This window comes from Homo sapiens, chromosome 11, assembly GCF_000001405.40.
Source record: "Homo sapiens chromosome 11, GRCh38.p14 Primary Assembly".
Lineage (NCBI taxonomy): Eukaryota > Metazoa > Chordata > Mammalia > Primates > Hominidae > Homo > Homo sapiens.
This window is the reverse complement of record NC_000011.10, coordinates 102,435,256-102,462,639: the sequence shown is the minus strand read 5'-3', so window position 1 is coordinate 102,462,639 and position 27,384 is coordinate 102,435,256. Positions and strand designations below refer to the sequence as shown.

At 41.8% G+C, this 27,384-nt stretch overlaps 1 protein-coding gene and 1 long non-coding RNA gene across 2 annotated transcripts in view, besides 4 other annotated features; one reads left to right on the top strand and one right to left on the bottom strand.

The window, feature by feature from the left end:
• Positions 1-601: 601 nt before the first annotated feature.
• Positions 602-9,721, bottom strand: TMEM123-DT (TMEM123 divergent transcript). Its single transcript, NR_135053.1, has 2 exons — positions 9,591-9,721; positions 602-1,192 (listed from the first exon to the last, which is right to left on the bottom strand). It is a non-coding gene; the product is annotated as a TMEM123 divergent transcript (long non-coding RNA).
• Positions 9,512-9,621: an enhancer, noted in NCBI's record as "active region_5447". NCBI's record gives its function as "activates an Ori minimal core promoter by ATAC-STARR-seq in GM12878 lymphoblastoid cells {active_cell/tissue: GM12878}" and the evidence as "EXISTENCE:reporter gene assay evidence [ECO:0000049][PMID:35858748]".
• Positions 9,742-10,031: a silencer, noted in NCBI's record as "silent region_3861". NCBI's record gives its function as "represses an Ori minimal core promoter by ATAC-STARR-seq in GM12878 lymphoblastoid cells {active_cell/tissue: GM12878}" and the evidence as "EXISTENCE:reporter gene assay evidence [ECO:0000049][PMID:35858748]".
• The window catches only part of TMEM123 (transmembrane protein 123), a 56,434-nt gene continuing 38,924 nt past the window's right edge, over positions 9,875-27,384 (top strand). Inside the window, exons 1-2 of the mRNA NM_052932.3 lie at positions 9,875-10,116; positions 13,772-13,828. Of these exons, the coding sequence (NP_443164.2) occupies positions 10,017-10,116; positions 13,772-13,828 (157 nt within the window). The 5' untranslated portion in view covers positions 9,875-10,016. The remainder of the gene's footprint in view (positions 10,117-13,771; positions 13,829-27,384) is intronic.
• Positions 10,352-10,641: an enhancer, noted in NCBI's record as "active region_5446". NCBI's record gives its function as "activates an Ori minimal core promoter by ATAC-STARR-seq in GM12878 lymphoblastoid cells {active_cell/tissue: GM12878}" and the evidence as "EXISTENCE:reporter gene assay evidence [ECO:0000049][PMID:35858748]".
• Positions 10,822-10,871: an enhancer, noted in NCBI's record as "active region_5445". NCBI's record gives its function as "activates an Ori minimal core promoter by ATAC-STARR-seq in GM12878 lymphoblastoid cells {active_cell/tissue: GM12878}" and the evidence as "EXISTENCE:reporter gene assay evidence [ECO:0000049][PMID:35858748]".

The following is a 27,384-nucleotide window of genomic DNA, read 5'->3' as shown; positions in this document are numbered from 1 at the left end:
TTTCTTCCTCAGGCCTAGGCTCTAAAAGTAGATTAGATCATATTTGTTTTTAGCCTCGTATCTTATTGTAGGATAGTCAGAAAATGTCTTTTATCATTATTAGAACTATAATTCTAAAATAACAGCTTAAAAAATTCCTTGAAATGTCATACATATTATTTCAGAAAAGCTGAAAAACTCAGAAAAGTAGAAAGGAAAAAAAAAAGATCACTCAGAGAATGGTCAACCAGAAATATGACTATTAATCTTTACCTTTTTTCCAGACTTTTTTTTTCTAGGAATGGTATTTTTGTTTGGTATATATTATTGGAATTATAAAATCTTAAAGCTTACGGCAATTATTACGTTTTGGGGTGAAGTTTAAAAATCAAATAAGGAAAAATAGATATTAAGTTCTACATTTAGTTAGTACTTCTTCCTACCAACTTACAGCCCTCACAGTCTGGTGACAGTTTTGGTGGAGTGCTATTACTTACTTGCCCACGTGGAAATGGGTCATTTACTTAAATATAACACCTGCAGGGACATGGCCACACATTATACTATTTTGCTTTTTCTTCCATGCCTTATACAATGCTGCACATACAATAGATGCTCAGAAAAAAGCTTTTGGATGATTTTTATTGATTTCATGCCATTATTAAGGTTAATACCCTCAGAATCTCCATAGGCAGTAGTAGCCCAACCCAGGCCCTGCAGGGCCCAGTCTTGGCGACTTTCACATTCCAAGAAACTTGGTTTAGAAATCAAAGGTAATTTAAAAGTTATTTGAATCTTTACTGTCATTGCTTGAAGAATATTAAAAAGAATTCAACTTGTAACCTATAATGGTAGTCTTAAATCCTCCTTGGCCCCATTCTTCTTCTTTTTTTCCCCCCTTTTCTTTTTTCCCTTCATTCCTCTTGCTTCAGTATGTCCATGGCTGACTTAAAGCCCCCCTCTCAAAATCTCTGCCAAAATTCTCTCCGAACTTGATTCCTTGTGATTCTTGGTTTTGCTTTTCATCCCCCTTCCTTTGGCTTCTATTCCTTCTTTCTTCCCACCAGGAAATCACAGCCCTTGGCATCATCTTGGCACTCACACTTGTTTCTTCACTCAGCCCTTTTCTCCTTGGTCACTGATTCTGCTCCATGAGCAGTCAGAAATGGAGCTGGCAAGCTCAGCCTCTCAGCTGGAGACACTGGAGTCAGGGCTGAAGGGAGGAGAGAGGAGAAGATCACAAAAGCTTATCATCTAAAGTCCTTTCTTTTATTCTCATTACACAGTGAAATTCTAATATATTTACTTATTGGGGGTGGGCTACATGAAAGGTATCTGGAAAAAATATGTGGCAATTATAAGGGTAAAATGACAAAATTTTCTTTGAGGAGGGAGAACACTGCCTACCCATCCTCCCCTCTTTAGGGTGTCACCCTGACAACATAATAGTTCTGACCTTTTGATTTTACATGCAAGGTCATGGGCCTTCTGACCTTTGAAACTGTCAACACTTACCTCTGGGATTTTGCTGAGGTTTCTCATCGGTACAACGATGGGTGTAATGAGACATCACACAGTACATCCTTTTGTCTCTCATAGAAATAAGAGGTTTCAGGCCAGGCGTGGTGGCTCACACCTGTAATCCCAGCACTTTGGGAGGCCGAGGTGGGCAGATCATGAGGTCAAGAGATCAAGACCATCCTGGTCAACATGGTGAAAACCAGTCTCTACTAAAAATATAAAAATTAGCTGGGCATGGTGGCGGGCCTGCAGTCCCAGCTACTCAGGAGGCTGAGGCAGGAGAATTGCTTGAACCTGGGAGGCGGAGGTTGCAGTGAGCAAAGATTGCGCCACTGCACTCCAGCCTGGGTGACAGAGCGAGACTCCGCATTAAAAAAAAAAAAAAAAAAAAAAGGAGGCAAAAGGCAAAGTATACCTGGTATATGACCACTAGACTGGTAAGGGAAAAATGCCACAAGTGAGCGTGCATACAACTCCAGTAAACACAGTGCACATGCGGCCCCCCTCAAAAGCCAGTAGGCCACCGCACAGGCAGACAACCCCCACAAGGGAAGAAAAAAGGGAGAAGTAATGCAGACCCCAAAAGAATGCCAACATATAAAACTCCAAATCAATGGTCAAACAGTACACTTGATCTCTCAAGTTGCCCACTTGGCCGTCTTCCAAGTGTACTTTATTTTCTCTCATTCCTGCTCTAAAGCTTTTGAATAAACTTTCACTCCTGCTCCAAAATTTGCCTCATTCTCTCACTCTGTCTTATGCCCCTCGGTCAAATTCTTTCTTCTGAGGAGGCAAGAGTTGAGGCTGCCGCAGACCCATACGGATTCACCACTGCTAACACAAGTAATACTCAAAATGCAGTATTCCTGGGTGAGAGCAAACTTAGGGATCATCCAATAGCGCTTACTTCCCTCTTGACCCATGTAGATACCAACAGATGATCACTGAAATATTGTATTCAATTTGGCTAACTCTGTATGCGTTCCTGATGAAGGTTGCTATAAGAGATTCAGAAATGACAGAAGGACAGTAGGACAGAATTCAAAAAGTGTGGGTTAGTATTCCAGGATATGGGATGTGAAGCTACCACTCACCCAGTTGCTCAAGCCACAAACCTAAGAGGCTTAATTTCTCTTTCCCTCAGCCATCATATCCAATTGACTCTACTCTCAATCCACATCCTAAATCCATTCACTTCTTCCATTGTCACCACTTCTACCCTAGTTCAAGCCCCCAACAATAGCCTCATAACTGGTCTGTTTCTACTCTTGTTCCTCCACAGAAGCTGGTGTGATGTTTTTAAAAATATATAAAGCACAAGATGACTTGCCAACTCTCAAATGGCTTCTCATCACATTTTGTTTTGTTGTTCTTGTTCTTTCCATACATCATATTTAAAATAAAATCTAAATTCCTCATCTGAAAAGGCCCAGATCTTCCCTTGTACCTCTCTGTTCTTATTCACTGAGCTTCAGGCACATTGGCTTTCTTTTTATTCCCCCAACACACTATGCTGGTTGAAATGTACTTCCCCCTTGTTTTCACATGGCTCCTTCTAAGGACTCAGTTTAACTGTTACCTACTACAGAGGACTTCCCTGACTGCTTATTCTGAAGTCACCACCCAGTTGTTCATCACATCAGTGTGTTTTCTCAGCACTTATTTCTAGTTGTTTCTTGTGTGTGTATATGTGTGTGTATTTGTGTGTTCAACTGCTCAATTTTTGTTGAATGAATGGACTGGTAAGCCCTACTTCTCCAATTTTTTAGATGAGCAACAGAAAATATTGAGCAGGGGTTAAGACTAACAACTTTCATCTTTTTTTTAACCTTCTCCACAACAGCAGTTTTATCTTTTGTCAATTTCTCTGTCATTATTAGCAATGAAACTTTCCCTATGGAAAGTGGTTAGGTTCAGAGGCAGCAAAGAGGAATGGCCTGGAGACTTGCAACTCACTCCATATGTAGACTTGAAGAAATAAGAACACCAAAGGATCGGGGTGGAGAGCAGTGGCTTTAAACAGAGAAATAAAATAGGCTGAGTTCCTATAGCCTCCTACAGAGAAGACACAAAAAAAGTCAAAGTAGGAGCTGATAAATAACGGGATTTAATTAACACTGGAAAGGCCCATGAGGCTTCCCTACATGCTCCCTACAAAACCTCTGAACTCACATCTCTCCTCTTCCTACTGTCCTCAGAGCACAACATAATCCTGCCTAGAACTGACACTGAAAACTCACATCACCACCTCTCATCTGGCCAAATCCTTCAGATTCAGACAAAGCTCCCCCACTCCCTTTCTGAGAAGTCACCCTTACAAACTTCAGTCCACACAGAACTCTCTCTTTCTGATCTCGTTTCAAGAGGAAAATCCAATTGCATCAGAGTTCATTGTTCTCTGCTTATTTTTTTGTTTTGTTTGTTTGCTTGCTTTTGGAGACAGAATATCATCATCACTCAGGCTGGAGTACAGTGGCGCAATACTGCTCACTGCAGGCTTGACCTCCCAGGCTCAAGTGATCCTCCCACCTCAGCCTCCTGAGTAGTTGGGACCACAGGCACACACCACCATGCCCGGCTAATTTTTTATTTTTTGTAGAGATGAGATCTTGCTATGTTGCCCAGGCTGCTCTTAAACTCCTGGGCTCTTGTAATCCTCTCAAGTAATCCTCTTGACTCAGAATCCCAAAGTGCTAGGATTATAGGCGTCAGCCACCATGCCTGGCCTGTTTGCTTTATCTTTGCCTTTACTTGTTTTATTTTCACTTTTGCTCATCTGAATCTAAGAATCCTGTAAGTGTTGAACACAAAATACTCAATAAATTTTTTTTGATTAATTATATAGATTCACACTCTGTCTGCAGTTTCTACTGTAAAGGAGGAGACAAGAAGGAAAAAACCTAAAGGTGAGGGAAGAAGAAAGTGCAAGAAAAATTGGGGCTCTAGAATACAAGGGAAAGGAAGCAGAGGTGCAGGAATGGGGAAGATACCCAGCAAATGAGCTTTCATTGTGAAGACTTAATCACAGTTTATAACATGTTGTCAATCTGCTAAAATGGAAGTTGACAGGAAATTGGCAGAAACAGAGAAATGGACACAGGCCAATTTACTCTCTTTTGTTAAATCTCTCCAGTGCCTTGCCTTATTTGCAACTACTTCAGTCTCAAAGCCAGGCAGATTCTGGTTCTTTCCTTATGCAAATATTGATTATTAACAGACTAATTCATACATAGCTAGAAGATAATTATCTGTGCACATTAAGCCAGATGAGCCATCCTCTATCACCTGCTTCTTTTTAAAAATGAATCAAAATTTACTGTGGGATATAAGTAAATCTCACTGAGAAAACATGAAATCTCTCTATCTTTTTACAATCATAACAAAAGCAGCTTTTACCATTCATTTTTAGAAACCAACTCACATTTTTTCCCTTAACAACATGTGTAAATTTATTGTTCTATTTTTGGGGGTGGGGGTGTACTTTTTTTCAATTGTGGTTATATATACATAAAATGTATCATCTTAGCCATTTTTACATGTACAGCTCAGTAGTATTATGTACATTCAAACTGTGTGTAACCATCGGCCCCCATCCATCTTCATAACTCTTTTTGTCTTGCAAAATTAAATGAAAACTCTGTACCCATTAAACAAAGCTCCCCATTCTTCTCTCCCCAGCCTTTGGTAGCCACCATTCTATAATACTTTCCGTCTCTATGGGTAGAAACCAACTAACTTGTAAAGGACTCACTAGTGTCTATCATTTTGTGAGGCAGATAGACTTGTGTTATTCTCTATTGTTTCCCAGCACCTAGCATAATGTCTGGTACATGTCATGTGTTCAATAAATGTTTGCACACTGACTAAGTGAATGAATGATAGTTCCAACTCCTGGTCCGCCCTCAAGTGACCATAAGTTAAAGACTCAGACATACAGGAAATACAGGTTGGATGCAAAGAGAATATTATTGATGGAGAAGGACACCAGCATTTTGCTGCTCTATTTGTCTCCACCCAAAATTCATTCCACAAATATAAACTGAATGCTTCTATATGATGGAAGTGCATTAGAGCCTCAAATACAAAGATGAACACATAGACTGTGCCTCCAATGTGTGCTTTCCCACGACCACTTCATAGCATTGATTACACTCTAGTATAATCGTGTATGTACCTGCCCTGCCACTATACTGTAAGCTCTGGCTAGGACATTGTCCATCATATAGTAAGCACTCAATAAATAGTTGGCGAATCATCTAATGGAGACTGTAGCCCACTGTGGGGAAAAAGACCCACAATCATACAAAGTCAGGATCCTTAGCTGTACGAAAGAAAAGCTGCTGACTCTTGCTGATATAGCAGAAAAGGATTATATTGAAGATATTGGGTAGTTCTCAGGTGTGTTGGAAGGTGTAGAGATTCAGGACTGGGGCCATTCCTCTGGGAATAATGCACAAAACCACTGCAGAACTAGCCCAGCAAGAAAACTATCACCATTGCAGCTCTCTGTCAATACCACTATTACATCAGAAACTCCATGTTGCAACCACTGAGAAACTAACGTCACTGCTAGTGCTGCCAACTAAGGCAGCCGCCTGGCTATTAGGGCAATTCATACCAGCAAGGCAAGGAGCTCCATAATGAGCCACTTTCCTCTGGTTGCTTATACCTGAATTTAAGTTTGATATGGATGAGCCTGACTGGCAAAGCCTAGGTTATATTCTTGAACCCAGTTGTAATGGAGGCTGGGAAACTGAGTTCTAAATAAAAGAAAGTAGGCTGGGTGCGGTCGCTCACACCTGTAATCCCAACACTTTGAAAGGCCAAGGCAGGTGGATCACTTTACTTCAGGAGTTCAAAAACAGCCTGGCCAACATGGGAAACCCCATCTCTACTAAAAATACAAAAGTTAGCAAGGCATGGTGGCACATGCCTGTAGTCCCAGCTACTCAGGAGGCTGAGGCACGAGAATCGCGTGAACTTGGGAGGCGGAGGTTGCAGTGAGGTGACATTGTGCCCCTGCACTCCATCCCGGGCGACAGAGCAAGACTCTGTCTCAAAAAAAAAAAAAAAAAGGAAGTGATTCGTATGACATGAATCCAGTAGCAATATGCGATAGGCACTTGGCCAAAATATGCATTCACTTTTTTATTCTCATGGAACTTGTATTTTTGTAGGACAGACAAAAAATAAACACATAAATGAACATAATGATGGATAGCACTGGATGCCACAAAAAGAAACAGAGCTGTAAACTAGGGTATTCAAGAAGGGCTTTTCTCAGATGAGCAGTGTTGAAGGATGTGAGGAAGCAGCAAGTACAGAGGCTCCGGGATGGAAACTGACTTGACATTTCTAAAGTGCTGCAAGGAGGCTGGAGCTGAGAAGTGAAGGAGAGGGTAGAAAATGAGGTGGTAAGGGCAGCCATGGACCATGTCACGTAGGCCTTGCAGGCCATGGTTTCAGACTTTGTTAAGTGGCAAGGGAATGGCATAATCTGACATGTTTTAAAAGAATCACACTGGCTGCTATGTGGAGAATATTTTATAGAGAACAAGGTTAGAGACCCAGTTGATCAATGTATGAGCAGAGGGATCCAAGCACTAAAATCTGCCCAGATGGGTGGGGAGATGGGATATGAAGGGAATCTTGAGAGAGGAGTAGAAACTGCCTAAGAGAAAAGGTTAGAGGGCATCTTGGGCAAAGGGAAGAACAGGAGCAAGAACACAGGGGCGTGGAAGGCCCCAGCATATTTGGAAAACTTTGAGTGCTCTAGTGAGGTTACAGAGAGGGATCCAGACATGAGGCTGGAAAGGAGGAGAGACCTAAATGGCCAAGGGCTGTTCTTTTAACTTTTCACATCACCAAAGTAAAATGTTGGTACAGTGATGGGGGCTGAACCTGAGGCATAACTGGGGCTACAACTTCTCTGGGAGGCTAGTCCTCCCAATAGAGTTTCCAAGAGAGCAGGAAGGCCACACAGTTCCTTGCTCTTTCCCCTCTCCTCAGACTAGAAAAAACATGGGCAATCCACAGTACTGAGCTGTTAGTATCAAAGATGGGCACACCCACTCACTGTGGTGTGGCAATCAGATAGCAGAGATCTGAAGGTGTCTCCAACAGGTCAGTACCCGGGAAAAACTGTCCAAGTAAATAAATATCTTGTTCTCCACACTGTCTTAGTCCGTTTCTGCTGCTATAACACAAATACCTTAAATGGGATACTTTATCAACAAATTTATAAACAATAGAAATCTATTTGTCCCAGTTCTGGAGGCTGGGAAGTTGACAGAGCAAGGCCTCAACAGATTTGGTGTCTGGTGAGGGCCCTCTGCCTCACAGATGGCGTCTTCCTGCTGTGCCCTCACAGTACAGAAGGGTGAAACAAGTTCCCTCAGGCCTCCTTTACAAGGGCACTAATCCCATTCATTAGCAACCAAATCACCTCCGGAAAGCCTCACATCTTTTTTTTTTTCTCTTGAGACAAGTCTCACTCTGTCTCCCAGGCTGGAGTGCAGTGGCGTGATCTCGGCTCACTGTAACCTCCACCTCCCAGGTTCAAGCGATTCCTGTGCCTCAGCCTCCCAGCTACTCGGGAGCCTCCCGAGTAGCTGGGATTATAGGCACGTCCCACCACGCCCAGATAATTGTATTTTTAGTAGAGGCGGGGTTTCACCATGTTGGTCAGGCTGGTCTTCAACTCCTGACCTCAAACGATCTACCCTTCTCAGCCTCCCAAAGTGCTGGGATTACAGGCATGAGCCACTATGCCCACCCAAGTCCCACATCTTATTATCATCACCTTGAGGATTAGGTTTCAACACATGAATGTGGTGGGGATATAAACATCCAGACCTCTTATTCCACCCCAGATTCCCAGGCTATAAGTACACTGAGCCTTAAAGGAAGTATTAGCTGTGGGTTGGTGAAGAGAATTCCAGAAGGAAAGAACAACGTATGCAAATGCCAGGAACCAGAAAGCACCCTTCTCCATGGGCAACAGAACCAAGGCTGGAAAGACAGGTTGGGCCTAGATTGGGAAATGCTTGGATAATGGGGTAGTCACCAGAACGGTTTATTCCTAAACCAGATTCCCCAGTTAAATAGAATAACCAAAATCGAAATGTGCAATGCTTGCTTTTTGTCCATGATAAGCTGCAGGGGAAACATTTGCAGGTTGGCTGACTGAATCCACAGATGGAAGTCTCTGTAAATTTAGGACAGATTGTCTCAGTTAATCTCTAGGACCAGTCAGACCTCTGTAATGATGGATTTGCCTGACATGAGAAAGTTCTACCTCTCATAACACAGTTTTCAAAAGTTAACTGCAATGTGGCCTTTATGTGATGAAATCTGGCTCAGGTGCCAAAGATCTGCAACATTAAGACCTTTGCAGGTGGGGATTCACTGTGATTTTAGGTTCCTTGGATCCTTCAGTCTTCTACTTCAGCTGAGGGTTCCCACCCAAGCCAGGACTCAGCCTTTGTTATTCTCATGCATTAGCCACAGGTAGCTATGTCACTTCAGAGTTCTGAGCACGATGAAAATGCAGACTTTACAAGCACTTCAAGTCAAGACAAGTGATTAGCATTGGCTCCAAGGGTTTAAAAGGAACTCAGCCAAAAACTGTTCAAAACTGGCCATTTCATCTGAACTGGGACAGCAGGGCACAAGGAGAGAAAAGGCTGGTTGGATTAATGCAGCCCCCGCTTTCCATGGCTCTACTGTATTTCACTGAGAGTTGCTACCAACTCCTGCGCGCGCCCCCACCCGCCCACTCCACTAATCTCGTGTCTTAATCAGAGATACAGGGAACCCGTGGAGAAGATGAAGTACAACTGGGATAAGAAGATCGTAGGTGTTTTACGTTTGAATTTAAGCAACAAATCTGTCGAGCTGTTTTTCTCCACTTCCCCCTTAGGCTGGGTCACGCGAGGGGAAAGCTCCGACCGCCCAGGACTCCTTAGAGTGAATCCCATCCCCTCAAGTTCCTCTCCAGAATCTCCCCCTCCTCCCGCCTTTGCCCTGCAACTCCTCCCTCTCACTCTGAGTCGCACGCACCCCTGTCCCCTCCCTGCCCGCAAAACTACTCTTCAAAGGCTTCCTTCCGGGCACCGCGAAGCCAGCGTGCTCAGCATTCAGGGAGGCAGCGGCGCTCGCCTTCATCCAGGACAACAAAACTGCCATTTCCGAAGAGAAAGGAAACGGCTCGCGGTTTCTGGGGTTCCCAAGCGCGCGCCTGCGAGGGAGGCCGCGAGCCGAGTCGCCACGCCCAGAACCCCGAGCCCGCCCCCGCGCCACCCAGCCCGGCCCCGCCGCCCCGGCTGCGCACGCGACGCCCCCTCCAGGCCCCGCTCCTGCGCCCTATTTGGTCATTCGGGGGGCAAGCGGCGGGAGGGGAAACGTGCGCGGCCGAAGGGGAAGCGGAGCCGGCGCCGGCTGCGCAGAGGAGCCGCTCTCGCCGCCGCCACCTCGGCTGGGAGCCCACGAGGCTGCCGCATCCTGCCCTCGGAACAATGGGACTCGGCGCGCGAGGTGCTTGGGCCGCGCTGCTCCTGGGGACGCTGCAGGTGCTAGCGCTGCTGGGGGCCGCCCATGAAAGCGCAGCCATGGCGGGTAAGTGGCTGCGGGGGTCGTCAGCCCCGTTCGTGGGAGGCAGCGCGCTGCCGAGGCTTGGGTTCCCAAGTTGGGCTCTGGTACAGAAAGTTCCGCGTGTGTCTGGCCGAACGCTCGGGGCGGACCCAGAGGTGACCGGGCGGGGTGGGGGAAACTGAGGTTTGGACCAGTCACCCGCTGGCCCCGGGGCCGCCTGCTGAGGAAATTGCCTGGTGCTTCCCCTCTCGCTTTTTGGATGCGGCGGTCGCAGGCCGGGACGGGTGCGCATAACCTGTTGAGTTACCGCAAGTTGGTTTTTACAGCCTTTCCCTGAAGTTAATGTTTGCCGAGGTTAGAGTTTCTAAGGCTTCCGTTTGTAAACAAGATTAGCTGAGTTGAAAAATATGTCTACCTAGGCCCGCGGAAACGTCTCCCAGTTAGTCGGGGAGCTTTTCAAGCGTCCCCCAGGCATTTCAGCGTCTAATATTATGCAGTATTATCCAGATGAATTACAATCTTTAGGTCCCCCTGACGCTCGAAGTTAGACTTCGGGGCTCTTGGAGCTAGTTGGGAGCTTTTGGGGAGCGCGCCCCGCCCTCGCGGTAGTTGAGGCGGCCGCCCCCATGGCGGGGCGCTCTCCACCCCTCGTGTGCCATAAACACCCGGCCGAGGCGCGCGGCAGCTGCGCAGCGTTAAGGGCACAGCTGCACGGTCGCCGGTGGCCCTTGTCGTCGCTAGTAAGGTCGTAACAGGATGATGTTGACTTTGCTTTTCTGTGTAGGGCGGAATTTGTTTCGTTTTAGGCCCTTGGCCCTTTGGAGACTTCAAACAGCCCTTTTTGGATGAAACCAGGAAGTTGGGATTTGTTGTGTAAATACTGTTTTCCTTTGTCAACTGTTAGAGAAGTCAGGTCCCTAGGTAATGGTCAGTAAACTAGGATAAGTTAAGTAACCCAAGGTTTTCATGGTTTTAAGTTCTATCCATCCACTGTATATGTTAGCCTTAGGTTCGTTTTATCCAGCAAAAGAAAAAGGCAGTTTGTAAATCTGGAAGGTTCAGGCACAACACTTGCTTTTTCTGGAATAACCTGGGTGAATTAACAATTTTTCTTTGTTTTGCTGAAGTTTTTTTGTTTGCTTAATTGTGCGTGTGACAAACTGGCTTCGCAGACCTAATTTTGAGATCATTTAAGAAAAAAAGTGGTAAAATCATGTCCATCGTGTATCTTGGTCCTAATTTTATACCAATTATCTCATGAGGTGAGGTCTCCATTTTTAAAAATTTGTTGCTGTGTTTGTGAAGATAAGCCTTACTGTTTCAATGAATTACCGATTAGAGAAACTGTGAGTGACCATGCTTTTCTTTCTTTTGCCCTGATAACACAGATTTTTTTTGCCCTATTTTAGCACTGTTTGTTCTGTTTATTACTTAATGTCTTACTAGAGGTTAGTCCCATTTGCAAAACTTGAAATGCTCTACAGTAGGCGAGCCCTGAATTCATAAACTAGTATAACCAACCAGAGGTGGAATCTGTTTCTACAGACTATATAATGTCACCTTGCAACTAGACTAAAAGGTATACAATAGAAGATTTCTCAAAAAAGCTAGTAACTGTTAATCGTAGTCTTCATGTATAGTGTAATCTGTATACAATGTCATTACGAAGTATAGTGATTTTTAGCCATCATACTAAAACTCTTAATGGCTGATTTTTACTGGGTACATATTCTGTGCATCCCACGCTATGCTAATTTAGGTCCATAAATCATCCCATTGAATCCTCACAGTATCGTCCCCATTTTATAGATAAGTAAGCTAATTTATGGCAAGTAAAACAATTAATACATGTTTGGTTTCAGATCAAAATCCAAATTTTCAATTAACCATTTCACCACTAAGCCGCGTTAGATGATGATGGCTCTTGAAGTAGATAATACTTTTATTCCACAGTATTACCATTGCCTAGAATATTGTGGGAGAAGATAAAAACATTATTGAAATTCTGCTTTTAAAATATTCTTCACAGTCAGCTGCATAGCTTTATAAATATCAGTTGAAGGAGGAGGGAGACTATGAGCAAGTTTGCAAATCAGCAAACAGGATTTATTGTAGTATTCCAATGAATGACATTAACATTAACAGGATGGGAGGGGCGGCTGTTAGTCATTACTCTTAGTGGCAAGTGACAGAAACCCACCTTGAACAACTGTGGAAAGAAGGGACTTTTTTGACTTGTAACTGAAAAGTGCAAGGATTGAGGTGGCTTGAAAATGGCTGTATTCAAGTGTTCAAATAAGTCGCCAAGAAATTAAGAAATCATCGCGTTAAGAGCGACAATAGCAGGGAAACAAAAACAGGCTGTTGTGTTAGCCCAGCCAAAAGATGATGGTGAGTGGCAATGGAGATAAAAGGGTGGATTCTAGATCTATGGGGGGTTGGGACTAATCACTTGCTGATGGATTGGAGGGTGGGATGAGGAAGAGAGAAGAATCAAAGGATGACCTCTTGGTTTTGGGGTTGAGCAGCTGGTAATGCAACAATTGGGAAGGTTGGGGGAGGAGCAGGTTTATAGTAGAAAATCAGTAGTTCCATTTTGGCACTCATATCTGCAGGCTTAGGAATCAAACTATCTGGTCCAATTCCAGTCTCTGCCACTTTGTATCTGGGCGGCCTTCTCTGGGCCTCAGTTCTTGTCTGCAAAACAATACTCCTAAGAATTGTTGAGAGGGTTAGATGAGCTAATGCACATAACCCTGGCTTGTGGTAAGCACCTAATAATGTTGGCAATTGTTTGCTATCTGCTGCTAAATACATCTACGTAGTCTGTTGACCTTGATCTTTTTCAAGTTAATCTTACACTGTATCCTTTTGTGATAAATAGATGATAGTCCCATCAAGAAGAAGAAATTCTCACAAAGAAGAAATTTGCCCAAGAAGTAAAGATAAATCCTTCAAAGTTACTGCTTTTCTTTGTACTTGGAGGATTTTTTTTTAAGTGGGGGAGAGTTCATCTTTGTGAAAAGGACACAATAATACACTTGCTCTCTCCCTATGTGTTATACATATTTAATCTTCATTAGACAAAGACTCAAAACGAATAAAGCACTCTGAAAAGTTGCTTAATTGGGACATAGAAATCTCTTACATTTTTTCCAAATCTAAAGGTGTACTAATTTAAAAATTAAAACCCTACTGAGAAGGTGCAGTTAAATAAGAAAATCCTATTTTATCCCTCCATTGTATGAAATTAGGGGTGTTGGTTGGGTGGTGCAAGACCTAGAGATGCCTGTGAGTAGAATCGGCCTCTCCTGAAATGGTCCACTCCACTCAGAAGAGCAGAGTCCTCAGTGGCAGAAATTGGCCCATCTGTCCCCAATTGTGTGGGTAAATGAATTTTGGCAAAGCTGTTGCATTCGGTGGCTGGTATATAGTAAGTACTATGTAAGTGTTTGTTATGTAAGCTAGATGTTTATCTTGAAAAACCTGGTAATACAGTCCCTTTTACTGACAGCTTCAAGATATGTTTCATAACAACAGGGGCCAAAGTAGAACTTCCTGTGGAATAATCTACCCTCCTGACACCACTACCCCTACTCCCGCTAGGCAGAAAACCACATACTGCCAGTATTCTTAGTTAAATGTTCTTTCATAACAGGATATTTCTTTATTTTTACAGCATCTGCAAACATAGAGAATTCTGGGCTTCCACACAACTCCAGTGCTAACTCAACAGGTGAGTTTTAAAAGATTAAAAAAACAAATTTTCATTTGTCTAGGGTACATGAAGTAATAACAGCCAGGGAAGTAGGCATAAGCTGGTTCACTGACCTGTTTTAACCCTGAGTTCTTCACCCATGAATCCCAATAACCTGCCCTAGTGCCCTATAGTAGACATCAGTAAGTGATAGTTCACTGGATTAATCTTCCTCAGTCTTGTAAAGATGTCAATAAATTCTAAAACAAAAAGTGTATCGGAATTTCATGTTATGAATTTTTGAAGCACATTTTTAGATGTGAGGGTTTTGTAGTTTGCCTGTAGATATGAAATGTCAGCACAGAAGTCTGCAGGTCCTATTGATGAAACAAGTCACTGTAAACTAGTCAGCCATGGCAGCCTTAATATACCTCTGCTGACTCTAAGGAGACCCTACTTACATTTCACCCATTAGGCAGACTCAACCCAAACACTTGGTGAGGCCCTTACCCTGTGATTTTAGTTTGGGACAAAGCCTTGGGCCTCTGAGTTCACTAACATGGAAAGATGCAAGAACCAGGCTGATGTCATCAATATCAGTAGTAAATCATCAAGGTACGTTTCTTGTAAACAATTTTTAAGTTATCTTCTCACTGCCCTTAATCTTCACAGTTGACTGAGTTGGAAACTAGAAAAAGGTACACCAATCCTATCACTAACTTGTTTTGTTTACTTTTAGTCAGGGAATATTTATGGACTCTAATGAGCTAGCACATCCTAGGTTCTAAGAATACAAAATGGACCAAGCCTTAACTTCTAGGAGTTTTTGTTCTTTTGTTTTTTATTTTGTGGCAAAATATACATGACATAAAATACATAAGTAACCATTTTTTTAAAGTGTAAAGGTCAGTGGCAGTAAGTACCTTCATGCTGCTTTGCAACTTGCTGGAGTTTTTATTCCTGTGGGGCATCCCAGTGTTTCACTTAGTTTATGTTCTTGGTTTACTGCTGTTCTTTGTTTCATTATCTCTGCCTTTTTGACTGGTGTCTGGTGGTACGTAGTCAGGACATACTTTAATTCTAGTTTTAGTAATTCTACAGAAAACGTTTTCATTGAGAGGAAAAAAAGTCTAGAGGGATTACTCCAAAATGTAATAGTGGTTATCATTGGGTAGTTGTGAGAGGGTCTTAGTTAAAAAATATTTTATTACACTATTAGATAGCTTTTCCTTTTGTCCTTTATTGAATCTAATTCTGCACTACTGAACTTTTAACCTTGGGTAGACAAAGGAGGTAGAAGAAACATAAAGACAGTAATATTAGCAATAGACACCATTTTTGAATGCCTACAACTTATAAGATACTCCTCATACATTTACTAATTTAACAGTGGTGAGGTAGGTGTCATTTCTGGTTTACACATGGGGAAATTGAAACTCAAGAGTGGTTAGGAAATGCCCAAGATCACATGACACTAAGTGTCACATTCAGGATTTGAAACCCAGTTGTATTCTAAAACCTATGTCTCTTTATCACACTGTCTGAAGTGTGGTGTGGCCTTACTTTTAAAACATGCTTTTCACTGTGAATGATTATTAAAAATCAACTGAATACTTTGAGGGCAGCTCCAGAGTCAGTGGGATGATTTCAAATGCCCCTTCTAGCACAGGGAAATTTTTTGAGAAAGAAGAAAAGCATTGCCTCAAATTTTTCTAGAAGGAGAACAGATAATACAACTATTAAAAATGTTTTTGCACAATGTGTTTTACGCCTCATAACTGTCGCATTCCTCTTTGTATCTTGAAAACACTTTTGAAACATGTTAAGTTTGTGTATTTTTATAGGATGGATGCTTAACTGTTTTTCTTTTTAGTTACATAGACCATTGTTGAAGCTTTGTTTCTTTGAACATACTGTTTACCAATTTATTTGGTGCTATTTATTTAGTGCAGTTTCTGTGGCGCCATATTTCCTCTCACTAGGAAAATAGCATCTTTGGCAAATTCCATTATGATGTGTATTCCAGGAATGTACTGTTGGAAAAAGCGGAGACTGCCTGCAGTACTCCTTAGAATGTTGGGTGTCTATCACTTTTATAGGACTCACCACGTTGGAATTTCAGAGAATCTTTTTTTCTCTTGTTTTGGTCTCCAAGTTCCTTGAGAGTGAAATCTATGATTTATTCATCCTAACATCTCACTCTATGCCTGGTGCATAGTAGGTATGCAGGATATGTATGTTTTTGGTTGGTTGAACTCAATTGTGGAGCAACATAGATATTTTGTAATTGCTGACTTGCCTTATCAAAACACTAATATATACATTTTGCAGATGTGTACTGGTTTATGCTCCAATCCTATACATTATTACAGCTGTTTTTCTGTTTATACAGTAATATAGGTACTTGAAGTCAATAGGAATAAAGGTTGCTTTCCAATGTACCACTGAGTTACATGTAACAGTTCTATTTTTTTATGTCCTCTAATCATTATTTGAAGACAGCTGTACTTTTGACATTCTTGTCTGCAGGGACTTGTTTGACACACTTTCAGCTTATATAGAAAATAATTTCCCCTTATTTCATTTGCAGTCAGAGTATTTAGATTCTGTGGATGGATGAATTTACACTTTATAGTGCAAGGAAGACACATGCCCAGATTATTTTTCATAATGGGTTTGAGCAAGGATGTAAGGAAATGTGGCATGGTCTAGATTGGAGTGCACATCTCATCAGTAACTAGAACAGCAGCTCAATATCATTCAGGATACAGCCGTCTCCTTGATCACATAGCATTGATACTTCCCAACAGAGGGATCTGAGAGGATTGGGTTACCATCATCCAATCTGAAGCTCTTTTCTTGGACATAACTTGCACCAACTCCTTTCCAAAGCCGTTTATCTCTTAATCATGTATGTTCCATTTATTACGATTGCCATTAGTTTGGTTATTCATCCTTGGCCTAGTCATTTGGGCCACTCTAGTGAGGTTAGTTTTGTCCATATTCATGGCAGGGATGGGTAGTTGTGAGAGGGTCTTATTTTAAAAATGTTTTATTACACTATTAGGTACCTTTTCCTTTTATTCTTTATTGGATCTAATTCTGCACTACTGAACTTTTAACCACCATTTTGAGCACTTGGACCTGGCTTGCATTTAGATTTCTACAGAAGAAGGCAGTGGAAATTTGGGAACAGCTTATTCTGTATTCCAATTTTTACCCCCGATTGCAACAATGAAAGTCTTACTGAAGTGGAAAGAATTTATCAGGTATATAATCCTGTATGTCACACTACCTTCTTCTGTTTACTTTAGATAAAATGTTTTATGTGTGAAAAGAATATTAGATGGAAACTTTCTGTGAGTTTGTAAGTCAGTCAAAGACAGGAACCAATTGGCCTGACAGGTTGCTTTAGTTGCAAATGGTGATACAGATGAATGATTGATTGACTGATTGATTGATTCACTGATAGATGCAAATGTTGATAGATACAAACAGTGATAGATACACAGAGAGACATAGAGATATCAATACTAGTTTTTAACTAGAGATTGGATGTAGAAAAGAATTTTTCTAACTAAAGAATTCATAGTACACTTAACTGCTTCAACTCCTCAGAAAGTTAATTGTGTTCAACTCATGTTTTTGAGATTGCGTCTGAAAATTGATGGTAATTTTTTTTTATACTTCGAGTTCTAGGGTACATGTGCACAACGTGCAGATTTGTTACGTATGTATACATGTGCCATGTTGGTGTGCTACACCCATTAACGCATCATTTACATTAGGTATTATCTCCTCATGCTATCCCTCCCCCCTTCCCCCCACCCCACGACAGGCCCTGGTGTGTGATGTTCCCTGCCCTGTGTCCAAGTGTTCTCTTTGTTCAGTTCTCACCTATGAGTGAGAACATGCGGTGTTTGGTTTTCTGTCCTTCGGATAGTTTGCTGAGAATGATGGTTTCCAGCTTCATCCACGTCCCTACAAAGGACATGAACTCATCCTTTTTTATGGCTGCATAGTATTCCATGGTGTATATGTGCCACATTTTCTTAATCCAGTCTATCATTGATGGACATTTGGGTTGGTTCCAAGTCTTTGCTATTGTGAATAGTGCTGCAATAAACATGTGTGTGCATGTATCTTTTATTTATTTATTATTATTATACTTTAAGTTCTATGGTACATGTGCACAATGTGCAGGTTTGTTACATATGTATACATATGCCATGTTGGTGTGCTGCACCCGTCAACTCGTCATTTACATTAGATGTGTCTCCTAATGCTGTCCCACCCCACCCCCACCCACGACAGGCCCTGGTGTGTGATGTTCCCCACCCTGTGTTCAAGTGTTCTCATTGTTCAGTTCCCACCTATGAGTGAGAACATACGGTATTTGGTTTCTTCCTTGCCGTAGTTTGCTGAGAATGATGGTTTCCAGCTTCATCCATGTCCCTGCAAAGGACATGAACTCATCCTTTTTTATGGCTGCATAGTATTCCATGATGTGTCTGTGCCATTGTCTTAATCCACTCTATCATTGATGGACATTTGGGTTGCTTCCAAGTCTTTGCTATTGTGAATAGTGCCACAATAAACACACGTGTGCATGTGTCTTTATAGTAGTGTGATTTATAATCCTTTGGGTATATGCCCAGTAATGGGATGGCCGGGTCAAATGGTGTTTCTAGTTCTGGATCCTTGAGGAATCGCCACACTGTCTTCCACAATGGTTGAACTACTTTACCCTCCCACCAACAGCGTAAAAGTGTTCCTATGTCTCCACATCCTCTCCAGCATCTGTTGTTTCCTGACTTTTTAAATGATTGCCATTGTAACTGCTGTGAGATGGTATCTCGTTGTGGTTTTGATTTGCATTTCTCTGATGACCAGTGATGATGAGCATTTTTTCATGTGTCTGTTGGCTACCTAAATGTCTTTTGAGAAGTGTCTGTTCATATCCTTTGCCCACTTTTTCATGGGGTTGTTTGATTTTTTTCTTGTAAATTTGTTTAAGTTCTTTGTAGGTTCTGGATATTAGCCCTTTGTCAGATGGGTAGATTGTAAAAAATTTTCTCCCATTCTGTAGGTTGCTTGTTCACTCTGATGGTAGTTTCTTTTGCCATGCAAAAGCTCTTCAGTTTAATTAGATCCCATTCGTCTATTTTGGCTTTTGTTGGCATTGCTTTTGGTGTTTTAGTCATGAAGTCCTCGCCCATGCCTGTGTCCTGAATGGTATTGCTTAGGTTTTCTTCTAGGGTTTTTATGGTTTTAGGTCTAACATTTAAGTCTTTAATCCATCTCGAATGAAATTTTGTATAATGTATAAGGAAGGGATCCGGTTTCAGCTTTCTACATATGGCTAGCCAGTTTTCCCAGCACCATTTATTAAATAGGGAATCCTTTCCTCATTTCTTGTTTTTGTCAGGTTTGTCAAAGATCAGATGGTTGTAGAAGTGTGGTATTATTTCTGAGGGCTCTGTTCTGTTCCATTGGTCTATATCTCTGTTTGGTACCAGTACAATGCTGTTTTGGTTACTGTAGCCTTGTAGTGTAGTTTGAAATCACGTAGCATGATGCCTCCAGCTTTATTGTTTTGGCTTAGGATTGTCTTGGCAATGTGGGCTATTTTTTTGTTCCATATGAACTTGAAAGTAGTTTTTTCCAATTCTGTGAAGAAAGTCATTGGTAGCTTGATGGGGATGGCATTGAATCTATGAATTACCTTGAGCAGTATGGCCATTTTCACGATATTGATTCTTCCTGTCCATGAGCATGGAATGTTCTTCCATTTGTTTGTGTCCTCTTTTATTTCGTTGAGCAGTGGTTTGTAGTTCTCCTTGAACAGTTCCTTCACATGCCTTGTAAGTTGGATTCCTAGGTATTTTATTCTCTTTGAAACAATTGAGAATGGGAGTTCACTCATGATTTGGCTCTCTGTTTGTCTTTTATTGGTGTATAGGAATGCTTGTGATTTTTGCACATTGATTTTGTATCCTGAGACTTTGCTGAAGTTGCTTATCAGCTTAAGGAGATTTGGGGCTGAGATGATGGGGTTTTCTAAATATACAATCATGTCATCTGCAAACAGGGACAATTTGACTTCCTCTTTTCCTAATTGAATACCCTTTATTTCCTTCTCCTGCCTGATTGCCCTGGCCAGAACTTCCAACAGTGTGTTGAATGGGAGTAGTGAGAGAGGGCATCCCTGTCTTGTGCCAGTTTTCAGAGGGAATGCTTCCAGTTTTTGCCCATTCAGTATGATATTGGCTGTGGGTTTGTCATAAATAGCTCTTATTATTTTGAGATACGTTCCATCAATACCCTGTTTAATGAGAGTTTTTAGCATGAAGGTTGTTGAATTTTGTTGAAGGCCTTTTCTGCATCTATTCAGATTATCATGTGGTTTTTGTCGTTGGTTCTGTTTATATGCTGGATTACGTTTATTGATTTGCATGTGTTGAACCAGTCTTGCATCCCAGGGATGAAGCCAACTTGATTGTGGTGGATAAGCTTTTTGATGTGCTGCTGGATTCGGTTTGCCAGTATTTTACTGAGGATTTTTGCATCGATATTCATCAGGGATATTGGTCTAAAATTCTTTTGTTGTGTCTCTGCCAGGCTTTGGTATCAGGATGATGCTGGCCTCATAAAATGAGTTAGGGAGGATTCCCTCTTTTTCTGTTGATTGGAATAGTTTCAGAAGGAGTGCTACCAGCTCCTCTTTGTACCTCTGGTAGAATTCGGCTATGAATCCGTCTAGTCCTGGACTTTTTTTGGTTGGTAGGCTATTAATTATTGCCTCAATTTCAGAGCCTGATATTGGTCTAGTGAGGGATTCAACTTCTTCCTGGTTTAGTCTTGGGAGGGTGTATGTGTCCAGGAATTTATCCATTTCTTCTAGATTTTCTAGTTTATTTGCGTAGAGGTGTTTATAGTATTCTCTGATGGTAGTTTGTATTTCTGTGGGATCAGTGGTGATATCCCCTTCATCATTTTTTATTGCGTCTGTTTGATTCTTCTCTCTTTTCTTCTTTATTAGTCTTGCTAGTGGTCTATCAATTTTGTTGATCTTTTCAAAAAGCCAGCTCCTGGATTCATTGATTTTTTTTTTTTTGAAGGGTTTTTTGTGTGTCTGTCTCCTTCAGTTCTCCTCTGATTTTAGTTATTTCTTGCCTTCTGCTAGCTTTTGAATGTGTTTGCTCTTGCTTCTCTAGTTCTTTTAATTGTGATATTAGGGTGTCAATTTTAGATCTTTCCTGCTTTCTCTTGTGGGCATTTAGTGCTATAAATTTCCCTCTACACACTGCTTTAAATGTGTCCCAGAGATTCTGGTATGTTGTGTCTTTGTCCTCATTGGGTTTAAATAACATCTTTATTTCTGCCTTCATTTTGTTATGTACCCAGTAGTCATTCAGGAGCAGGTTGTTCAGTTTCCATGTAGTTGAGCGGTTTTGAGTGAGTTTCTTAATCCTAAGTTCTAGTTTGATTGCACTGTGGTCCGAGAGACAGTTTGTTATAATTTCTGTTCTTTTACATTTGCTGAGGAGTGCTTTACTTCCAACTATGTAGTCAGTTTTCAATAAGTGCGATGTGGTGCTGAGAAGAATGTATATTCTGTTGATTTGGGGTGGAGAGTTCTGTAGATGTCTATTAGGTCCGCTTGGTGCAGAGCTGAGTTCAAGTCCCGGATATCCTTGTTACCTTTCTGTCTGGTTGATCTGTCTAATGTTGACAGTGGGGTGTTAAAGTCTCCCATTATTATTGTGTGGGAGTCTGAGTCTCTTTGTAGGTCTCTAAGGACTTGCTTTATGGATCTGGGTGCTCCTGTATTGGGTGCATATATATTTAGGATAGTTAGCTCTTCTTGTTGAATGGATCCCTTTACCATTATGTAATGGCCTTCTTTGTCTCTTTTGATCTTTGTTGTTTTAAAGTCTGTTTTATCAGAGACTAGGATTGCAACCCCTGCTTTTTTTTGTTTTCCATTTGCTTGGTAGATCTTCTCCATCCCTTTATTTTGAGCCTATGTGTGTCTGCACATGAGATGGGTCTCCTGAATACAGCAGAGTGATGAGTCTTGACTCTTTATCCAATTTGCCAGTCTGTGTTTTAATTGGAGCATTTACCCCATTTACATTTAAGGTTAATATTGTTATGTGTGATTTGATCCTGTCATTATGATGTTAGCTGGGTATTTTGCTCGTTAGTTAATGCAGTTTCTTCCTATCATCGATGGTCTTTACAATTTGACATGTTTTTGCAGTGGCTGGTACGGTTGTTCCTTTCCATGTTTAGTGCTTCCTTTAGGAGCTCTTATAAGGCAGGCCTGGTGGTGACAAAATCTCTCAGCATTTGCTTGTCTGTAAAGGATTTTATTTCTCCTTCACTTATGAAACTTAGTTTGGCTGGATATGAAATTCTGGGTTGAAAATTCTTTTCTTTAAGAATGTTGAATATTGGCCCCCTACTTTCTTCTGGCTTGTGGAGTTTCTGCCGAGACATCCGCTGTTAGTCTGATGGGCTTCGCTTTGTGGATAACCCAACCTTTCTCTCTGGCTGCCCTTAGTATTTTTTCCTTCATTTCAACTTTGGTGAATCTGACAATTATGTGTCCTGGAGTTGTTCTTCTCGAGGAGTATCTTTGTGGTGTTCTCTGTATTTCCTGAATTTGAATGTTGGCCTGCCTTGCTAGGTTGGGGAAGTTCTCCTGGATAATATCCTGAAGAGTGTTTTCCAACTTGGTTCCACGCTCCCCGTCACTTTCAGTTACACCAATCAGACATAGATTTGGTCTTTTCACATAGTCCCATATTTCTTGAAGGCTTTGTTCGTTTCTTTTTACTGTTTTTTCTCTAAACTTATAATCTTGCTTCATTTCATTCATTTGATCTTCAATCACTGATACACTTTCTTCTAGTTGAATCAGCTACTGAAGCTTGTGCATGTGTCACGTAGTTCTTGCACCATGGTTTTCAGCTCCATCAGGTCATTTAAGGTCTTCTCTATGCTATTTATTCTAGTTAGCCATTTGTCTAATCTTTTTTCAAGGTTTTTAGCTTCTTTGCGATGGGTTTGAACATCCTCCTTTAGCTCGGGAGAAGTTTGTTATTACCGATCGTCTGAAGCCTTCTTCTCTCAACTCGTCAAAGTCATTCTCCGTCCAGCTTTGTTCTGTTGCTGGCGAGGAGCTGCATTCCTTTGGAGGAGAAGAGGCGCTCTGATTTTTAGAATTTTCAGCTTTTCTGCTCTGGTTTCTCCCCATCTTTGTGGTTTTATCTACCTTTGGTCTTTGATGATGGTGACGTACAGATGGGGTTTTGGTGTGGATGTCCTTTCTGTTTGTTAGTTTTCCTTCTAACAGTCAGGACCCTCAGCTGCAGGTCTGTTGGAGTTTGCTGGAGGTCCACTCCAGACCCTGTTTGCCTGGCTATCACCAGCAGAGGCTGCAGAACAGAAAATATTGCAGAACAGCAAATGTTGCTGCCTGATCCTTCCTCTGGAAGCTGGGAGGTGTCTCCCAGTTAGGCTTCTCGGGGGTCAGGGACCCACTTTAGGAGGCAGTCTGTCCGTTCTCAGATCTCAAACTCTGTGCTGGGAGAACCACTGCTCTCTTCAAAGCTGTCAGACAAGCAAGTTTTAAGTCTGCAGAAGTTTCTACTGCCCTTTGTTCAGCTATGTATGCCCTGCTCCCAGAGGTGGAATCTACAGAGGCAGGCAGGCCTCCTTGAGCTGTGGTGGGCTCCACCCAGTTCGAGCTTCCCGGCCACTTTGTTTACCTACTCAAGCCTCAGCACTGGCGGACGCCCCTCCCCCAGCCTCGCTGCGGCCTTGCAGTTTGATCTCAGACTGCTGTGCTAGCAGTGAGCAAGGCTTCGTGGGTGTGGGACCCTCTGAGCCACGTGCAGGATACAGTCTCCTGGTGTGCCATTTGCTAAGACCATTGGAAAAGCGCAGTATTAGGGTGGGAGTGTCCCGATTTTCTAGGTACTGTCTGTCACGGCTTCCCTTTGCTAGGAAAGGGGATTCCCCAACCCCTTGTGCTTCCCGGGTGATGCAGTGCCCTGCCCTGCTTCGGCTTACGCTCTGTGGGCTGCAGCCACTGTCCGACAAGCCCCAGTGAGATGAACCTGGTACCTCAGTTGGAAATGCAGAAATCCACCTATCTTCTGCATTGCTCACACTGGAAGCTGTAGACTGGAGCTGTTCCTATTCGGCCATCTTGGAACCCGTTGCTGGTAATTTTTAACATCATCCAATTTTGTTTAAAGGAATGAAATGTAGGAAAATAATGCAATATTATGCTCACTTACTCAGTGAACAGCTGTTAGTTTGGACTGCCCACTCCGTTAGTCACTGTTTTAGGCACAAGGCATGAAGTGGTAAATAAGATGAATAAGTTCCTGCTCTCATGAAGATAATATCCAGGTGGAGAGACGTAGACTATAAGGAAGTAAACAACTAAAAAGATGATTTTGGGTTGTGATTAAAAATAAATAAACTGGGCACGGTGGCTCATGGCTGTAATCCCAGCACTCTGGGAGGCTGAGGGGAGCAGATCACTTGAGGTCAGGAATGCGAGACCACCTGGCCAACATGGTGAAACCCCCTCTCTACTGAAAATACAAAAATTAGCTGGGTGTGGTGATGTGTGCATGTGATCCCAGCTACTTAGGAGGCTGAGGCAGGAGAATGCATGATCCCGGGTGGCAGAGATTGCAGTGAGCCGAGATTGTGCCACTGCACTCCAGCCTGGGTGACAGAGCAAGACTTTGTCTCAAAAAATAATAATAATAAATAAACAGGGTAAAACACCTATCTGCCTCCATGCATAAAGAGGGTGATGTGGAAAAAAGTGACTAGGAAGGGCTGTAGATTGGTTGGTCAGGGAAGCCCTCTCTGAGATGGGGTCATCTGAGCTGAGACCTGCATGACAGGAAGGAGCCAGCCCTACAAATGCTAGGGGGAGGAACATTCCAGGCAGAAGCCCTGAAACAGGATGAGGAACATGTATTTCAATAAAAGAATTATATTTTGAGCCATCAAAAACAGAGCAGGCCCCAGCAGACAAGGTCAGAAATGTGGATTCTGACGACTTAGAATGTGGATTCTTGTTAATGTCTCTGGGTCTTTTTAAATTCTATAGTGATTCTAAACCACTGTGCACTCTCATACACCCTGTACTCTCAAGACAGCAGATACAATAATAAATTGGAACTGCACTGGTGCTTTCTTTCCTGAAGTATGCCTCCATTCTTAAAGTTGTAAATAGGACCCAAATTAAATGCTTCCAATTCAGATTAAGGACTACTGCTATTCTTTATTGCGATGTGAACTATGAAAGGGAACATTTAACATTTTAAACGTAAAAAAAATTTTTTTTTTTTTTTTTTGAGATAGAGTCTCATTCTGTCACCCAGGCTGGAGTACAGTGGCTCGATCTCAACTCACTGAAACCTCCGCCTTCTGGGTTCAAGCAGTCTCCTGCCTCAGCCTCCCAAGTAGCTGAGATTACTGGTGTGTGCCACCGCACCCAGCTAATTTTTGTATTTTAAGGGTTAAAGAGATGGGGCTGGGCTGAGTAACCAGCCTGTCATGTAAATTCTGGGAAAACCCAGGAAACACTGAATTTGCCTGTGGGATGGTGGGAGTAGGGAGAAGTCATGATGAATGGGTGTTAGAAGAGATAAACAGTGAGGGAAAGTACACAAACTGAAAAAGCACACAAAAATCCCAAAAACGAAGTGCACAACAGCAACAAAACTAACAGGAAAACAAAACTTGGGGGCATTTTTAAAATATTTGGTTTTTTTCCTTTTCAAGAACAGGAAAAACAAAAGATGGTGTAGAACATAAAACATAGGCCAAAAAAAGTAGACCTAGGCCAGAAAAATCAACTACCAAACTCTGGGTTCCTGTTGTTTTTCCATAATGCAGCCATCTGGCTCACAGTGGGTTCAGTCTAAATTCTAGTGTGAATAGGAGAATGAATTCAATTGGCATTTAATACTTGACATTCTTTTTTATTGTCTTTCTTTTGCATTAAATACTCCTTTTTCACAGAGAGCAGGCAGGCTTGCTCTAGATTCCCATGACTTCCTTCTTTCAGACTAAAATTGATGACTTACCCCATCATGTTGAGTAACACAAAGATTTCTCACGAATAATTTTTCCCAGATGTATGAAGTTCTTAGGAAGAAACTTTGAGTTAAGCAGTAAGTAGAGTTAAACAATAATTGGTACTGAACGTTAACTGCATGGCTCTTCATCTCTTTGTGTGTCCGTGTTTTTTAAATACATAATTTTGTTTACAATCTTATTAGTGAAGTAATTCATGCACCAGTCTTCTTGGCTTTGAATTACATTTATTTATAAGGAGTTAAATTGAGGCTGGGTGCGGTGGCTCACGCCTGTAATCCCAGCACTTTGGGAGGCTGAGGCGGGCGGATCACTTGAGGTCAGGAGTTTGATACCAGCCTGACCAACATGGCAAAACCTTGTCTCTACTAAAAATGTAAAAATTAGCCAGGCGTGGTGATGCACGCCTGTAGTCCCAGCTACTCTGAAGGCTGAGGCAGGAGAATCACTTGAACCTGGGAGGTGTAAGCTGCACTGAGCCAAGATCATTCCACTGCACTGCAGCCTGGGCAATAGTGGGAAACTCCATCTCAAAATAAAATAAATAAAAAATAAGGAGTTAAACCAAGAATATTTTCATAATGGCTTTTGGTTTCTTCGTTTTGTCTTTTTGTTAAGGAAACTTCATGCATTTTTTTTTAAATACCTTCACTGAGATGTAATTCACATACCATGTAATTAAATTTATATAATCACACACCCCATTTCAAGTGTACAGTCCAGTGATTTTTAGTATATTCACAGGTATGTTTAACCATCACCACAGTCAAGTTTCGAACAGTTTCATCACCTCAAAAAGAAACCCTGTGCTCTTTATTTATCACCCCCTTATCCTACCTGCTGTTCCCCCACCAGCCCTAAGCAACCACAAATCTACTTTCATTTTCCCGTTCTGGACTTTCATATGAATGGAATCATGTAGTGTGTAGTCTTTTGTGACTGTCTTATTTCCATACTTCATTCTCTTTTATGGCCACACAATTCACGCTATGGGTATGTCACATATGGTTTATCCATTCATCTGTTGATGGACATTGGAGTTGGTTCCACCTTTTGATATTATGAATAGTGCTTCTATGAATATTTGTGTAAACACTTTTGCGTGGACATATATTTTCATTTTTACTGGGAATATACCTAGGAGTAGAATTGCTAGGTCATATGGTAACTTTGTTTAATGAACTGCCAAACTGTTTTCCAAAGTAGCTACACCATTTTAGATACACACCAGCAGTGTATAAGGGTTTTATTTTCTTCATATCCTCACCAGTCCTTGTTGTTGTACGGTTTTTTCGTTGTATCTAACCTAATGTGCATGTGATGTGTTTTTGATTTGCATTTCCTTGATAACTAATGAGTTGAACATTTTTTCATGTGATTATTGGTCATTTGTATATTTTCTGTGAAGAAATGTTTATCCAAGTCCTTTGCCATTTTTTAAATTGGGTTGTCTTTTT